We start from the raw sequence: 18,063 nt of genomic DNA on the forward strand, positions 1-18,063 counted from the left end.
GGGTGGCTCAAACAACAGAAATTTATTCTTCATAGTTTTGGAGGCTAGAAGTGCAGGATCAAGGTGTCAGCAGGTTTGGTTTCCTCTGACACCCTTTTCCTTGGCTTGCAGATGGCTGCCTTCTTGCTGTGTCCTCACATGGCCCTTCCTATGTCCAAATTTCCTCTTCTTAAAAGGACACCAGATTGAATTATGGCCAACTCTAATGGTCTTATTTTAACTTAATTGCTTCTTTAAATGGCCCTATCTGAGTTACTGGGGGTTAGGGCTTCAACACAGAAACACTGGAGGGACACAATCCAGCTCATAAGAGTTGGTACAGAATTTTAGGTTGGAAAAAATTTCCCCTCAGAATTTTGAGTATATTGCTCCACTATCTTCTAGTTTCCTCTGTGTCCTGCTAAGATGATGTCCCTTTTTTTGGGAGACAGGGACTTACTGTTACCCAGGCTGGAGTGCAGTGGTGTGATCTCAGCTCACAGCAGCCTCCACCTCCCAGGCTCAAGTGATGCTCCCAACTCAGCATTAAAGTAGCTGGGACTATAGGTGCGTGCCACCATGCTTGGCTAATTTTTAAAATTTTCTGTAGAGACAGGGTCTCCCTATATTGCCCAGGCTGGTCTCAAACTCCTGGGCTCAGATGATCTTCCCGCATCAGCCTCCCAAAGTGTTGGGATTACAGGTGTGAGCCATGGCGCTTGGCTGATGATGTCCTTAATGCATGGTGATACCTCTGTTCTCTCTCTAGAAGCTTTAGGATCTTTCTTTGCCTCAAAGTGGGGCTATTTTCATTCATTTTGCTGGAACTCAGTGAGCCCTTCAAATCTGCAAAATTGTGCCCATCTTTGGGGAAACTATTTCCCTGATGATTTCTGCTCCTTTGGTTTCTGTGGCTGTTCTTCCCACAAATCCTCTATTATTTAGATGCTGGAATGGAAAGCTTTCTGACTGTGGCCTTCACTTCAGAGATAGTAGTCTAGAGACCTACTGGAGTCGAGCCTCCAGCCTTCTGGGATGGGGGAGGGAGGGTAATGCAGCTCTAACTGCTTAGTAACAGAATTCTGTCTTTAGTCCCTCATTTCTAGAGGTGCCTTTTGAGAATTCCACAATCTACACAGAACTGCTTCTAGGCTTTCTATGGTCTACTAAGGTACCTGGGGCTTCCAAAGCCTTGTAGTTGCCTCCTCTTCCACTGTCTTTCTTACCTCATGACCTTTAGCCACAGCCTTAGTGGGGCTGCAGGATGGAATAGAGCTAAATATGTCTTCAATCCCATCTTTAAACATATACTTCTTAAATACATATTTATGGTCAAACAGGCCTGCTGTGCCCACTGGCCTCCCCTGCCTTCTGTAAATTTGCAACAGTCAGGTCACAGTCAGCCTGGGGGACGTCCCATGCTAAGGTCTTAGGTCGGAGTCAGGCACTGGCTTTTAGTGAGAAAGGCAGCCTGTAGCTGGTGAAGCCTGGATGGTGCCTGAAGGAGGAGCTGGAGGGTGAGGTCTGACTGGCCACTATGTTTGCTCCTCTGAGCCTGAAAGGTCCCAATGCCCAATGCTGTTTCAACTTGAACATTGAGCCCAGAAGTGGTTGTGAGTAGGACCAGGTGTGCAAACTTCACAGTGGTCTCTGTCCCCAACCACCCCAAGTGCTAGAGAAAAGAGTTCAGTAATTGGGATGGCTCCCATGTAGCAGCTGGTCCTGAATGGGTGGCTCAGTACATCTGCCCTCTGCCCTGATCCTGGATCCTCAAGGGTCCAATCCTTTGAGAAAAGGAACCAGGAGAGCGATGGGTCTGAAGCGCTGGTGTTGTAGAAATCCTCATCACAAAGAGGTGACTGCGTTCCAGTTGCTGCCAGGCCTGGCCATATTCCCACAAAGTGCCCATGTCTACAGGATGCTCAGCCCTTGCCTTCCTCTGTCCCGCCACCACCCTGCTCAGCTAGAAGGTGCTGCCTATATTTGAAGTTCAAGGTCTCTGTTGGAAGACGAAGCCCACCCAGGGCACACAGTTCTGTGATAACAGAGCCTGGAGTCGGCTCTAGAGCAAGACAGAGCTCCTGACCCCCATGCTGCAAGTCTTCTGTTTCATACACCCTACACCAGCTCTACAGAAAAAAACAGGACACCAGGGAGCAGAGGGACCCTAGGAAAGGGAAAACATGACAGACACCCTCATGTGGTTTGGCTGCGTCCCCACCCAAATCTCATCTTGAATTACCACGTGTTGTGGGAGGGACCAGGTGGGAGGTAACTGAGTCGGTGGGAGGTAACTGAGTCATGAGGGCGGGTCTTTTCCGTGCTGTTATCATGATAGTGAATAAGTCTCATGAGATCTGATGGTTTTATAAGTAGGTGTTTCCCTGCACCAGCTTTTTCTCTGCCTGCTACCATCCATGTAAGATGTGACTTGCCCCCTGCCATGATTGTGAGGCCTCCCCAGCCATGTGAACTGTAAGTCCATTAAACCTCTTTCTTTTGTAAATTGCCCAGTCTCGGGTACATCTTTACCAGCAGCTTGGAAACAGACTAATGCACACCCCTACTCAGAATGCCAAGAACTTCAGTCATCACTAGCAAATAAATCTCCTCATTACCAACCAAGGAAATACAAGGAAATACACTCACCTCTTCAACCTTTTTGACAAGGGGACGTGAATTTCTGATGAAAGTTATCTTACCAAGTTTAAATTCATAATTGGGAATTCCTCTGTAAGAAGAGACAGAGACAGAGAAATGTTATTTCCAGGAAAAAAGGACTAAAATTCATTTTTGACAGTCAAGAGGAACGCAGAAAAGATGCTGCTGCACCCCACCTGGGCCCTTTGGTGCTTCCTGGCATCCTCCCAGGAGGGAAGCAGAAAGTAACTGACTTCTTGGTTTGGTATCAATATTGGGTATAGGGCCAGGGGCTTTAGGCTCTGTACCTGTCTATGGAGAGGGGTCATCTGAAGGATTGGGAAGCCCTCACTGTCACTGTCCTGAGCTTCACAGAACCCCCTGAGGTGGCTAGACTCTCACTCCAGTATTCTGATTTCACACACACAACAGACAACTGACACACCTCAGCCCTGCCCCTGCCATCATGGCCACCAGAGGAAGGGTCTGCTGTGGGTCCCCGGACCCAGCAACAGAAGCACATCTGAGGTAGCTCCTCAGGGAACTTTCAGGGGAACTGAGATAATGTGACCTGATTAATAATTCCAAGTCACAAAACAGGAAAATAGGCAGATCACCAAATAGGGACCAGAAAGGTTTTGAGTAAGAGACAGATCTAATCAGACTCGCATCTTAGGAAAGCCAGTGGGGGCAAGAAGAGGCTGAATTGGGGGTATGGAGAGGTATGGAGAGAGGCTGGACCACAGTGGTACTGGGGGTGGCACTGTGGAAGGAGGGGCATGTTGTGCTCCACCCCACCAAGGAGAGCAGCTAAGGGTTTTAGTCCCTTGGGAGACTACTGACCCAGGCTTTGTCTCCAGAACTGGGGTGAGGCTGCCCGACCCCAGCGGGCTGGCACAGATCCTCCTCCTGTCCTGGAGGAGAGCCAGGACAGACCTACCTTTTAATATCTCCAGGCTTGATTGGGGAGGGGCTGGGCTCTACCCCTTTCTTCTTTCCATCCAGTCTATTGCCAGATCCAGAGAAAGCCTAGACAGGAAGTAGGTGAGTCATATAATAAGCCCAAGTGTGAGGACGATATGTCCTTTGCTTGGAGATCACTGCAGGGATGTGAGCTGGGGGTGCTGTGCAGACCCCTTCAGGACTGAAGCCCTGACTCCTCAACTGCTGGGGTGCTGGCAGCTAAGAACTCTGCCCAGTTCCTCAGGGGGTGGCCATGAGCTGAAGACAGCCACTTGGCCAAGGGCAGCCAGCAGTCAGTGTTGGGTTAAAAGACCTGATCCCTGCCTCTGCAGGGCCACCCAGTTCAAGCTCTATGGGTGGGCTAAGGCTACTGTTGTGACTGCCCCATAGCTCAGCTTCCCATCATTCTGCCCTCTCTGCTGCTTCCTGGCACCTCCTGCCACCTCAGTGCCCACACATGAACCACCTCCACCTGTTTCCCATGGAGCCTTGCCAGTAGTTATGCTAAGGGTCATGTTTGCAACCTACATGGTACAGGCAAAGAAAAAAGGAAACATGATTTACAAGAGAGAGAAAGCAAATGTGGTAACTTTTGGTGAACCTAAGGGAACAGTATATGTCTACTGTACTATTTAAACTCTTCGGTAGGTTAGAAATTCTTAAAAATCTGGGCTGCCTTATGGGGCTGTTGGGAAGATTCCAGGAGAGAGTGGATACAAAAGGGTTTGGTAACTGAGCGAGTGGCAGATTTGCATATGCACAGGTACCCAGAGGCCTAACCCCTGCTGATGTCCATCGAGCATCATGGAGAACACCTTGAGTGAGTGCTCTAATTTCAAGGAGCAGAGGGCACAGCAATATAAGTCAAGTGGTCTGGTACTCACGCGGAAGCCCAGCTCTCCAGCATAGCCACTGTGGTCGGCTTCACCTTCCTGACAGGGAAAAAGAAAAACAGGTGAGCTCCTCAGCGGGGACACCCAGCTTCCCTCTCACCCCCACCCCCGGCTAGGATGTCCCCCGGAAGCATGGCTGGAAGGGACGCAGAGGATATGACTACACCAACACTAGCAGAGGCCACCCACGAGCCACTGCCAGGAACTCAAAAGCAGCATGCAGCAGGACAGCAAAGGACACTGAGGATAACACTTACTGTCGACTCCTCATGCTGGACTTGTCTTTCGGGTTCTTTGTAGCCCAGGGGAGCATCAAAGTCCACCTGTGTTTCCAGGATTTTAAAAGTAAAATATTGAGACATGACCACCCTTGGCTTCCTTTTTTGTTTTTAATTGAGACAACTGTAGATTCACATGCAGTTTTAAGAAATAATACAAAAGATGCCTTGTACACTTGCCCAGTTTTCCCAACGGTAGCATCTTACAAAATTACAGTAAAGTATTGCTGCCAGGATATCAACACTGGCACAACCCACTGCTCTTATTCAGATTTCCCCAGTTTTACATGTTTTTGTTCATGGGTATCTTTAGTTCTACACAATGTAATCACTGTGTGGGGCATGTATCCACCACAGTTGAGATGTAGAACAGTTTCACCACCACTAGGACTGCCCATGTTGTCTTTTTATAACCATACCCAGCTGTCTCCCAGCCCCCTCCACCAGTCCTAAGCCCTGGCAACCACTGGTCTGTCTTCCATTTCGAAAGTTCTGTCACTTTGAGGATGTTATATAACGAAGTAACTTTTTGGGATTGGCTTTTTTTGCTCAGCAGTATTCCCTAGTAATACAACCAGGATGCTGTGTGCATCAGCACTTCATTCCTACTCAGAAGGTTCAGTACGCTTCCTTAGCTCTTAAGCATATTCACTCCTCGGCCAGGCGCGGTGGCCCACACCTGTAATCTCAGCACTTTGGGAGGCCGAGGCGGGTGGATTACCTGAGGTCAGGAGTTTGAGACCAGCTTGGCCAACATGGTAAAACCCTGTCTCTACCAAAATACAAAACTAGCCGGGCCTGGTGGCACATGCCTGTAATCCCAGCTACTCGGGAGGCTGAGGCAGGAGAATCGCTTGAACCTGGGAGGTGGAGGTTGTAGTGAGCCAAGATCGCACCACTGCACTCCAGCCTGGGCAACAGGAGTGAAACTAAGTCTCAAAAAAAAAAAGAATATTCACTCCTCAACGGGTCAGAGCTAACCATGGCAGCACTGGCAGCAAACTCTGTTGCCCCAACTGGCCCTGAGATAGATCACAAGGTCACAGTCTCCTCATGATGTTCTGACAGCATCTTCCTCCTCTTTACCCAGAGTCCCAGGGGCTGTTTGATGCCCTCCTGACACCCTGGCCTGCAGTGGTCACCAACTGCCCATCCTCCCAGGGCCCAGGCTCACTGTAACTGGACAGAGCCACTCACGTTCATGTCACACTCAATGATGGACACTGCCTTGTCGGGTTTGGTCTCCATCACACGCAGTTCGTAGATCTGTGGGGCAAACACAGAAATCAGTTGGATGGTTTCCTGGCAGCACTGGAGCTGTCGCTGTCCATGTTACTGTGGCTCTACTGGCTCCTGCGAATGACACAGCATTCATGCCCATGACACAACCTACAGCTGCACTTCTTGCTGTGACAACACTGCCATAAGGGACAGGCTGCCCTGTGCCCATCGCTGAAGAGATGCTGTTCCCCAGATATGGTTCAAATTAGACAAGGTAGTTATACAGCTAACTGCAAAAGACACTAACAACCTTTAACCTGGAAAGTTCACTTCTGGAACTTTACTATTTATTTTATTTATTTATTTTTAGACAGAATCTCGCTCTATCGCCCAGGCTGGAGTGCAGTGGTGCGATCTTGGCTCACTGCAACCTCCGCCTCCAGGGTTCAAGCACTTCTCCTGCCTCAGCCTCCCTAGTAGCTGGGACTATAGGCATGTGCCACTACACCTGGCTAATTTTTGTATTGTTGTAGAGATGGGGTTTCACCATGTTGGCCAGGCTGGTCTCGAACTCCTGACCTCAGGTGATCCGCCCACCTCGGCCACACAAAGAACTGGGATTACAGACATAAGCCACCGCACTCGGCCTTCGAAATTTATTCTAAGTAAATAACTAGCTATACCCAATGAGAAAATTCTAAGAATGCTCATACCAACGTCACTAATACCACTGTACAGATGCTCCTTGACTTATGATGGAACCAAGTCCCATAAACTTATAAGTTAAAAATGTATTAATATTCCTAACCTACCAAACATCATAGTGCAGCCTGCCTTAACCATTCTCAGAACACATACATTAGCCTACAGTTGGGCAAAATCATCTACTATAAAGCTTATTTTATAATAAAATGTTGAATAACTCATGTAATTTATTGAATACTGTACTGAAGATCAAAAACAGAATGGTTGTATAGGTATTCAAAGTATGGTTTTTACTGAATGTGTATCATGTTTGCATCATAATAAAGTTGAAAAATTCTAGGTAGAACCATGGTCAGGGACTGTCTGTATACTCAAAATGCAGCTGAATTATATTTCTTCATATGTAAATTTACAGTTATACAATGGTATGCTACGCAGCCAACAGGAAAATAATTGTAAAACCAGTCATGTTGCTTGTGTCTAAGATGACCTCACCTATGTAAAAAAGGCACATAAAAAATGTCCAGAAGCAGGGCCGTGCGTGGTGGCTCACGCCTGTAATCCCAGCACTTTGGGAGGCCGAGGAGGGCAGATCACGAGGTCAGGCAAATGAGACCATCCTTGCTAACATGGTGAAGACCCGTCTCTACTAAAAAATACAAAAAATTAGCTGGGAGTGGTGGCAGGTGCCTGTAGTCCCAGCTATTCGGGAGGCTGAGGCAGGAGAATGGTGTGAACCCAGGAGGTGGAGCTTGCAGTAAGCTGAGATCGGGCCACTGCACTCCAGCCTGGGCAACAGAGCGAGACTCTGTGTCAAAAACAAACAAACAAACAAGCAAACAAACAAACTCCAGAAGCATAGAAATTAAAAGTGGCCCTATCTACTTTTTCCTGCATCATTTCAGGTTCTTTGCTTTTATCTAAAGTCTGTCTTGCTTTTTTTTTTTTTTTTTTTTCGAGATGGAGGCTCGCTCTGGCACCCAAGCTGGAGTGCAATGGTATGGTCTTGGCTCACTGCAACCTCCGCCTCCCGGGTTCCAGCGATTCTCTTGCCTCAGCCTCCCAAGTAACTGGGACTACAGGTGCGTGCCACCACACCCAGCTAATTTTTGTGTTTTTAGTAGAGATGGTGTTTCACTATGTTGGCCAGGCTGGTCTTGAACTCCTGACGTTGTGATCCACCCGCCTCAGCCTCCCAAAGTGCTGGGATTACAGGCATGGGCCACCATGCCCGGCCAGTATGTCTTGCTTTTACAACCATTTTAAAAAGTCTGGATAGTCCCACCATTTAAAAAAAAAACCTAAGCAGGGCCAAATCTACTTTTAAAAGTGTCATAATTATTGAATAGATAAGGAATAAAAAAAGGATCTGTCATTGTGTGGATATACTACCACTTATCCACTGAGCATCCGGCCTGTTTCCAATCATTTTGCTGTGTTAATGACACTACTATAAACATTCAAACATGTCTCCTAGGGCTTGGCTCATGCTTCTCTACCGTTTTCATGTTTTCAAAAGGCCACAAATAATCAGTGGGTCATAAAACCAACAGGGCTGCAAGCAGAACTGAAAAGGAAAGAATTGGAAGACAGTACCCTAGAAGTACTATTGCATTTAGTAAGGATAAATATTCCTGTGACATTTTCCATTTACTTTTATGTATTGGCATAATATTAAATACTTTTTTTTTAAACTATGGGACCAATTTTCTAGGTTGGTGCTCCTCAAACTACCTGGGAAGACCTAGTTTTTAAAAATGTGCAGTCTGCTGGACTGCCATGTGGTCCTCCTGCACAGAAGCAAGACACAACACACACCAGACGCCCAGAGCTCACCAAGACAAGTACTGGTTCTGTGGCCATGTGTGTGGAGGTTATGACAATGCCAAATTACTATACGTTTCTAAACATTCACTTTTGATTCCTGCTTCCTCGAGGCCCTGGCAACCACCATTCTTTTTTTTTTTTTTTTTCCCTTGAGGCAGGGTCTTGCTCAGTCCCCCAGGCTGGAGTGCAGTGCCTTGACCCTGGCTCACTGCAGACTCAACTGATCCTCCCGCCTCAGCCTCCTGAATAGCTGTAACTAGGCACATGCCACTACGCCCAGCTAATTTTAAAATTTTTTCATTAATTTTTTGTAGTGACAGGATCACACTATGTTACCCAGGCTACTCTCAAACTCCTGGGCTCAAACAATCCTCCAACCTTGGCCTCCCAAAGTGCTGGGATGCCAGGTGTGAACCACGGTGTCCAGGTGATTCTACTTTCTGTCTCCCATGAGTTTGACTACTCTAAGTACTCATGTAAGCGGAATGTAGTATTTGTCTGTCTGCATCTGGTTTATTTCACTGAGCAGAATGTTCATCCATGTGGTAGCATGTGTCAGAATTCCCTTCCTTTTTAATGTTGAATAATATTACATTGTATGTGTGTACCACATATTATTTACCCATTCATCTGCAATTTATTTTTGACTATGGTATGAGTTAGGAACTCAATTTGTTTTTTCATCTTAGGAATAGTCAATATCCCAGATTCCGCAACCCCAGTATCTCCTTTGCCTGGTGACATCAATGCTGCCTCAGTGGTGGACCAAGATTCTTTGTATATAAAGCTTTCTTCCACTGGCCTACTTGTCTACTCCAGAACCAATGCCATATGGTGTCTTAACTACTGGAGCTTTATTACACTCAGCTGCCGTATAGAATCTTCCTTATATATGACCAGATTCTTTTGTCAATATTTTATCTACAATCTATGTATCTGTATCAAGTGACAATGATCTGTAGTTTACCTTTCTCCTATCCTTGTGTGGTTTTGGTGATCAAGGTTATGCCGACCTCAGAGAATGAGTTGGGGGATATGTTCTTTCTCTATTTTTAGAATATCTAAGAGCAATTTATTGCTTGAGTGTGAGGAAGAACTTGCATATATAACCATCTGGGCCTGTGTTTCCTGGATTAAGATTTTTCTGATTGAATTACTTGACTGGCTATACAATTATTTAGGCTGTTTGTTTTTTTTTTTCTTTAGTCAAACTTCAATTACACTTTTCTCTAGGAAATAATTTATCAATGTCAAATAAGTTGGCTCATTTCTTAGTATAAAATTTTTCACAGTTTTATCTTTCAAGATATTTGCTTTATCTAATTCATTTTATTTGTTTTTAAACATTCAATATGCATGTAGACTTTTCAGGGTTTGCTTTTTTTTTGTTTGAGGCAAGGTCTTGCTTTATCACCTAGGCTAGAGTGCAGTGGCACGGTCACTGTTCACTGCAACTTCTGCCTCCCGGACTCAAGTGATCCTCCCACTTCAGCCTCCCAGGTAGCTGGGACTACAGGTGCATGCCACCATGCCCAGCTAATTTTTGTATTTTTTGTCGAGATGGGGTTTTGCCATGTTGCCCAGTCTGGTCTCAAACTCCTGGACTTAAGTGATCCACCCACCTCAGCCTCCCAAATTGCTGGGATTACAGGTGTGAGCTACCACACCCAGCTTCAGCTATCTTTTTTATTAACTTTATTGAATTGTAAACAGAGAACACTTTAATTCTAAACAACTCTCTCAAGAGAGTAAGTCTAGGCCAGGCGCGGTGGCTCACATCTATAATCCCAGCACTTTGGGAGGCTGAGGCTGATGGCTCACCTGAGGTCAGGAGTTCGAGACCAGCCTGGCCAACATGGTGAAACCTCGTCTCTACTAAAAATACAAAAGTAGCCGCAAGTGGTGGCACATGCCTGTAGTCCCAGCTACTCAGGTGGCTGAGATGAGACAGGAGAATTGCTCGAACCCAGGAGGTGGTAGCTGCAGTGAGCCAAGATCGCGCCACTGCACTCCAGCCAGGGTGAGACAAAGAGAGACTCTCTCAAAAAAAAAGAGAGTAAGTCTAAAGACTTACTCTTTTCCAACATTTTAGATGTCATTTTTTAAGCTTCATACATTAAACATTATTACTGCTTTATATGGCAACATTTACCCTGGATTCATATTTGCCAATTTATTTATTCCCTATTCCTTCTTGCTTTCCTTCTAGGATAATGCTTATTCCTAAAGTACATGCTTTTAAAATTCCATTGGTAAATAACCTCTCTCAGATTTGGTTCATCTGAAAATATTTTCACTTTGCCCTTATTCTTTAAGGAAGGTTTTGATGATAGTTACTTGATACTGGCTGTAACTGTTGCTATTCAAAGACCTGCTACTTGCTGTTCTTCTGAAGGTACTGTGTTTTCTCCCTGCTTACCTCTCTGTATTTGGTATTTTCTACCTGTAGCTTATTCTGTTTGTTATACATTATAAATTTCCTGTCATGATGGGCTGACCACCAATTCTAAATCAATTTCAGTTACCATCTCTTCAGATTATTGCAATTCCTCCATTCTTTCCTACTGGGATTGCAATGGGCATGTTTGACTTTCTCAGTGTCTTCAACATCTCAAGCTCTCATATGTTCCATCCCCTTGCTCCTCTGTGTGAAATTCTGTTATTTCTTCAGATTCATCTTTCATTAACTCTTTTATAGCTGTTGTTTAACATTGTTTTTCAAATCTTTCTGGTTATTTTTGATAGCCTTTTGTTGCTCGCTATTATAATTCCATTTTAAAAAATATCTTTGAACATTTTATATCTAATTATTTTACATTTGTATCTAGAAATTCTAATGCTGATTTCCTTAGGGATCTAATTTTTATTGTCTCTGCTTTGGTGTAGTTTAATTATGTGTTCTTTGCTTGTTCAATTGACAGCAATCCCAAAGACGTAACTAAACTGGAGTGCTTTTTCCAGAGAGGATCTGTTTATTTCTCCTGAGACAATGACAACACCCACCTCTGTGTATATTTTACTGCTTTTAAGGGTTCCCGTTCAATCCTGATCTCTGACTCAGATCTCCCACTAGAGCACTGATATGGCCATCTGCCCTCAGGGCAACCCAGCTTAGAGTGTTTAAAATTCTCTATAAGCACAACAGTACATTAATCAGAAGGGCCCATTAGAGGATCTAGTTTTCCCTACTTCTAAAAGTGGAAGTTCAAACCTGTGTTTCAATTTTACATACACTCTTATATAATGTACCCTCCCTTAGAGTGCAAAGTATCAGTACTATCCTTTATCATCAGTTTAGGAGTTATATGTAGTATTACTACCTTAACATTAAAAACAATAACATTAAACTGCCTGTAATTAATTATAAAAGCTTAGAGTATTCAGTTAAGGTAAACGATACCTAAAATGTTCTCCACAAAGCTAAAGGGAACAAGATTATTTCTTAGTTTATTAAAAGGAAAAAAGAAAGTGTGATTCGAAACCCAAGGAACTGAAAAATAAGGTCAGATGCCTCAAATATGAGGAAACTGCCAGAGAATAAGCTGGATCCCTGCACTGACACCAAGGGAGTAACTGGCTAAACCACAGGCAGCTGTGACACAGCTGTGACGGCCCAGTCCCCGAAGGGACCAGAGAGTGCTGTGAAGGAGCTAAGTGCTAGCTTCAGGGAAAGCCCAGCCAAGCCAGGCTGTGGTCACTCCCGAACACTAAGGCTAGCCCTGGCAACAGCTCTGTGGGAGGGTCAATTGTCAACAGTCACAGTGAACAGGGGCACCCATATTACTGTGCTCCATGCCTGTGGTGGGACAGCCTGATGGCAGGATTGCCAACTATTACATCCTCCTGCAGGCATATTCCCATAGGTAATAGGAAAGTGAATGCTTTCTTGAATTTTGGACTAAGTCCTGTCATTTCACTTTACAGTTAAATTGTCTAGATCCAGACACCTAAACAGCATAAAATCAGGGATGAAAACAGAGGCATTCAGACCTGAGAGACTTGTGTCAGAAAGGTCAAGCCTAGAGAAGCTGCTAAGTGAAAACGGAAGCTGAAGAAAACAGGAGGTGGAGGAGGATGTGGGCTCCCAGGAGGAGAGGTGAGCCTAGGAGGTGTTGCCCTAAGGCAGAGCCAGGCTTTGCTTCTCAGATGCCACACAGCACTTGGCCCCACTGAAGGGCCTGTCAGCTTCTGTGGGGCAGGTATCCCAAGGACAAGGACCCAGCAGGGTTGTTATTGTGTCTCCACAGCCCTGCAAAGGGCTTAGCTCAGATTAGAGGTGCAGTGGGGACCTTTCAAACCAAGACAGAACCAGCAGCCTTGCCACCAAGGTACACAGAGGTATGACTAATAAGTCTATCAATGTTCCCCTGTAAATGCAATCTATCCTCAAAACAGAGTTACCAAATGAATTAGGGCTCTAAATATGAACCCGGGAAAACTTAATAACCAAACAGTAGGCAGTAATTAGGTGATAAGATCCAGGCATACGCTGCTTAAAAAGAAGCCCCATTCAAACATTAGAATGGACACTGCAGGTGGCTCTTGTCAGGAATGACCTGCATGAACTGGGCTCACCTTTTCATTATAGTTGATGGCAATCACATCCCCGGTGGTCAGACAGGCAAAGTTCCTAAGTGCGTTTTCTAATCTGCAGACACATTCTGTCAAGGCAACATGGCAAGATGGATACCTTAATCTGAAACAAGTTTCCATGTTAGATGATTACTGGTAGGTAGAGACTGTACCATGATGGTACTTGAAACACGAAGCTTTTAATACAATAAAGTACTACTTGGCAATAAAGAAGGATGGAACTCCTAATATGCAATAATATGGATGAAATGCCAAGCTGGGGTAACAAATGCCAAGCTGGGGGAAGGGGAAATAACCAACCACAAAAGGGCAGTGAGATTCCATCCACATGGAACCCTGAGAAAGACAGATCTATGAGGATGGGAGGTAGCTGAGAGGTTTCTGGGCCAGGGGATCAGGTGGGGACTGACAGGAAAGGACCTTTTGGGGACATGGAAATGTTCTGATTACATGGGTGTATACATTTTCAAACTGGCTGAACTGTGTGCATTTTATTGTATACAAATTATACCATGGGATTTTAAAAAATCCTGTGGGAGTACTAAAGAACAAAAAAGATTTAATGAGTCAGATAGGTCCTCTCAAAAGTTCCTCAAAATCAAAGATGCTTTCATTTATACTTCTGTTGTTTCTATCTTTTGAGCTGATAACTTTAGTTAATAGAAATTAAAATAAAGAAACCAGCAAATACTTTTTATAACAGTAAAACTGTAGAACCCAAATGCCCACACAAGGAAATGTCTATTCATGTGGAATATTTTGCCATGTCTTCCTCATCAATTTGCTGAAGGACTTTACATAAAAAGGTCACATGAAATGTGGCTCCAGAGCCTGCCACTGTGAGTCCAACTTGAGGGTGAAAGGGTGAGGCTATCTAGGTTCACCTCGCTTGGTCAAACAGCTTTCCAGAACCAGAGCAACTTTGTGAAAAGCGCCTTATGTGGTGGATGCTTTCTTTGCTCCCAAATATGAAGTGCCACGGTACGAAGTGCCCTTCCCTCCACTCCTCTAGTGACCCTGCCAGGGCATCTTCTCTGACTTCCACTGCAGCAGCTGGAGGAGCAGAGCCAGAGCCCTCAGGCTGAGAACACGAGGCCTCTGCAGGCAGGGCGGGCTCCCCATATGGCCTCTGCGTACTCTGGCACCTGCTGCAGCACCAGCTTCCCACTTTCTCTGCTCGGTGCCAAGACTGCTTTCATCCAGACCTCAGCCAGACCAGAAAACACCAGGCTCTCAACTGATGGAAGTGACGCCCTTTCTCCACACACTAACAAGTTAATTGTGCTGACAAAACAGCATCTGAGATCAACCTGATAAGTCTGCATTGGGGCAGGGCGCGGTGGCTCATGCACGTAATCCCAGCACTTTGGGAGGCTGAGGCAGGTGGAGCACCTGAGGTCAGGAGTTCGAGACCAGCTTAGGCAACATGGTGAAACTCCGTCTCTACTAAAAATACAAAAATTAGCCGGGTGTGGTGGTGCACACCTGTAATCCCAGCTACTCAGGAGGCTGAGGCAGGAGAATCACTTGAATCTGGGAGGCAGAGTTTGCAGTGAGCTGAGACCGTGCCACTGCACTCCAACCTGAGCAGCAGAGTGAGACTCCGTCTCAAAAAAAAGTCTGCATTGCAACACATGTAAAAACCCTGAGAAAATGGGCATGGCCCATTCCTGGTCACTGACAGCCAAACAAGCATGTCTAGGTCAGAGCTCTGAAGGACAAGTTAACTAGCTCTTCCCATAGGACATCCCCCTGCCTGTGGGACAGGAGGCTCAACAAGGCCATCGTGTCCAGAACATAGGCAGCAAAGAATATACATGGCCCATATGCATCCAGAGCACACCCAGCAGTGCCTTGCTCCTAAGAAAACATGCGGAGAGAGCGCTACTGGGAAAGGAGGCAGCTTTTCTTAACTTCCTATCTGTCTGTGTTGTTTGACTGTTTGTTTTTTTTTTCAAGTATGCATTAAAAAAAAATAAAAAAAAAGAAGTAGAATGGAGTGGCCACTCTTATGCCATGATCGTAACAGGAAAAATCAGGGCCATGGAGCTAGAGATCTTGATTGGTGCACACAGCACCGTCCCGTACCTGCACTGCCTACTTCCTGATGCTGTCAACACATACACCTGGCTTAAGTTCAGAGGTGAACAAAAAGAATCCACTAGAACCTGATACCTTTGCTTTCTGCTTGGTGACATAGAAACTGCAGTCATTGCTACCTATTGGCCTGGAGTGAATCAGCTCTCAGGCTGGCATGCAGTGAGGTTGACGGGCCAGTGCACAGCTGGGCGGAGGTACTAGGGAGCCACAGAAGGGGCTGGAGCTGAAGGCAGATAAGCTGCTCCCTCCTTCCACTGGACATACTGTGCATCCTGGCTTTGTGCCAGGTGACACAGACCAACTGAAAGAAGGGCTTCATTGTGGTCTCCATGAAGTGTCTGGAAAGTGACAGAGGTGGCCCAGACAGCACCCAGTGCACTTGGCCAGGGCCACGCAGATGTGCTAGCTGAACCCCATTATTCTCAAATCACAACTTGAATCACAAATGTGTGATCCCCAAAGCAGGCACAGATTCAATACAGTACATGATGTTTAACAACCGCCAGCACACTCTCCTTTGTCTAGAAGAACTCCGCTTATTTGAAAAAGATACACGGCTTTGGGGTTGGTGATGTCCAGGAAGTCAGGGCTCTGAGGTTGGAATTTGGAGTAGGTGGCCACTTGAAGGTTGACGCTCTCCACCTGGACCAGGCCGCCTTCTTCCAAGAGTAAGTTCTGCATCATCTGAAAGGAAGAAGAGGCTACATGAGACTCCTAGAGATGAAGCAGCCTCCACAACCACTGCTCCCTATACACTGGGCAGGCCCGTCTTACTTGGGTCCTTGGAAGAGGAACCTGAGCCAAGATAAGTAATTCGTGATACTATGTCAGGAAGGAGGGAAAAATCAAGTGATGTGGAAGGAAGAAGGCCAATAAAGGGGTGCTACTGAAGCTGTATAGCTCACAGTGTGAACGCATCTCTGCAGGGCTGCCCGGATTACTCACTAGCTCCAGGCTTCCCAGGGGCAGAGCATTTTCCTGGAATAGTCACTCACTGTACTTCCAAGCTGTCCCACAAGCAAATTATAAGGCCCTGCGTCAAGTAGGGCTGCACCTGAGGTAGGACAAAAGCAGCACAAGGCAAGGCTGACCTGGCAATGGAATGGCCCACCACAGCTGAGGCTGCAAGATGGTGACAGACCCCAGAGGTCTCTGCTAAGGAGGTTATAAAAATCTGACAAAGCCTCCACATGTCTCTATTAAACAACCCAGCCAGGTAGACGACGGCTGAGAAGTGAGACGGAAAGAGATAAACAATGCCCATGAGTACTGGGTGTGCAGGGAGTCCAGACTCAGGTCAGAAGCTCTATGTCTCTTGCAATGAAATTTTGCTTGTCTTATTTGAAACCGTCTTAAAAGGGGTGTCAGACATATACATCAGTAGAAAGAGCCGTAGAAGAGAGCTCCCACGCACCGAGCCCTGACAGTTGGACAGTGCTCACGTCGTGGCTCAGTCCATCGATCAGCACTACCTCACACCCAGTCCCAAGCCACATTAGATGCCCTGAAGCAAATCCCAGGTATCACATCCCTTCAAGAATGTTTCATCGGGAGTGGCAGTGAGAAGGTGACTTTAACAGCCAAGGGAAAAGGGGGCTGAGGGCTGTGTCACAAATGAGAGGGAGCTCATGAGGAGGGAGAGGCATGCTGAGGCCGAGGCTGTGCCTGGGAAGCCGTGCCTAGGCCATGAGTGAAGCCTGAGTGGTGGGCCCTATGGATAGGCTTGCAGAGGACCCCATGCACTCACGCTGACAGCTGCTTGTCAGGCTAGTAAGGGCAGAAATAGAGGGTGGTCACTCTACCAAATGCCACAGGCAGGCACAGAAGGATGCAGAGGTGACTGGCTTTGGTAACGGGGGTCTGGCATCCCCAGGAGTGATGTTCTAACAGGAAGTATTCTAAGGCTCAGAGTTAGCCAGTCGCAGGCCAGGCGCACTGTCCCTGGGTAGATTTTTGTGGGAAATTTGTCAGCGAGGGGAAGGATACTGGGCTGCAATTGCAAGCCTGAGGGAAGGCTGGCCAGGGATGGGGGGTGGCTTCCTCAGCCAGAGGCAGGACACTGCCATAGGTGATGTGAGGAGGACAGGCAGAGAGGTCAGACTAGGGCTTGAGGTGAGAAATGGGCTGCTGGAAGAGGCCTGAGAGCACTAAGCAGGCAGGAGGAGCTGATGCCTGGCCCTCCCCATGCAGCATTTTAGAGCATACAGCACAACGGGCAGCCGAGTACCCACATGTCACAAACGGCTAGTCCAGGGCTCGGATCTAGGTCAGCAGACGAAGCCTTGGCTACAAGGAAAAAGGCCAGTACCTATTCCAGGCTGGCTCGCCCTGAAGAAGCTTGGGAGCATGGGTGGGATGGAGTCCACCAGCCAGCCCAGAAAAAGCACTGGCTCACATGCCCTCCAAGACAGCAGATGGGGTATACCTGTCACCCGCCTGCCCATGCCAGGAGCTGGAAGGCCAGCTCAGGGGAAGAGGTGGCCTGATGGCTTCACACCCCAAACCAGCTCCAGGCTACCTAAAGAGGCTTTCCAGGGGAGAAAGGGTTCAATTAGTTTCCTGGTCTAAAGCAGTCCAACAGCTTGGACAAGAGGCCACCCAAACTTCAAGTCTATGGGTTAAAGGAGAACCTTCGAGATACAGTGTATCCCCAGCATCACCACCTCCTCTTATAGGTGAGCCACAGAAGGGACTGGGGAAGTAGTCACTGCCTGACACTTCAGCTACCTAGAGTGGCTTCAGTGACCAGGTGTTCTACCGGATGAGCACAATGTGGCCTCAGGCCCTTGGGGGCACCTGCAGACAAACACAAGAATAGCAAGGGGCTGAGCAGCAAATACTGGGGAGGGCAGGTGAGCCAATCT

At 46.7% G+C, this 18,063-nt stretch overlaps 1 protein-coding gene across 6 annotated transcripts in view; it reads right to left on the reverse strand.

Moving 5' to 3' along the window:
* Positions 1–18,063, reverse strand: part of UFD1 (ubiquitin recognition factor in ER associated degradation 1) — a 29,283-nt gene that overhangs the window by 2,210 nt on the left and 9,010 nt on the right. For 5 of the 6 annotated variants that reach the window (XM_047441488.1, XM_047441487.1, NM_005659.7 and 2 more), the window contains 7 exons: positions 15,753–15,883; positions 13,082–13,154; positions 5,951–6,019; positions 4,733–4,798; positions 4,467–4,514; positions 3,560–3,648; positions 2,629–2,710 (listed from right to left, as the gene is read on the reverse strand). In XM_047441488.1, coding sequence (XP_047297444.1) covers positions 2,629–2,710; positions 3,560–3,648; positions 4,467–4,514; positions 4,733–4,798; positions 5,951–6,019; positions 13,082–13,154; positions 15,753–15,883 — 558 coding nt within the window. The remainder of the gene's footprint in view (positions 1–2,628; positions 2,711–3,559; positions 3,649–4,466; positions 4,515–4,732; positions 4,799–5,950; positions 6,020–13,081; positions 13,155–15,752; positions 15,884–18,063) is intronic. The other variant, NM_001035247.3, reaches the window with a different exon arrangement.

The sequence above is a fragment of the Homo sapiens genome, chromosome 22 (genome assembly GCF_000001405.40).
Source record: "Homo sapiens chromosome 22, GRCh38.p14 Primary Assembly".
Lineage (NCBI taxonomy): Eukaryota > Metazoa > Chordata > Mammalia > Primates > Hominidae > Homo > Homo sapiens.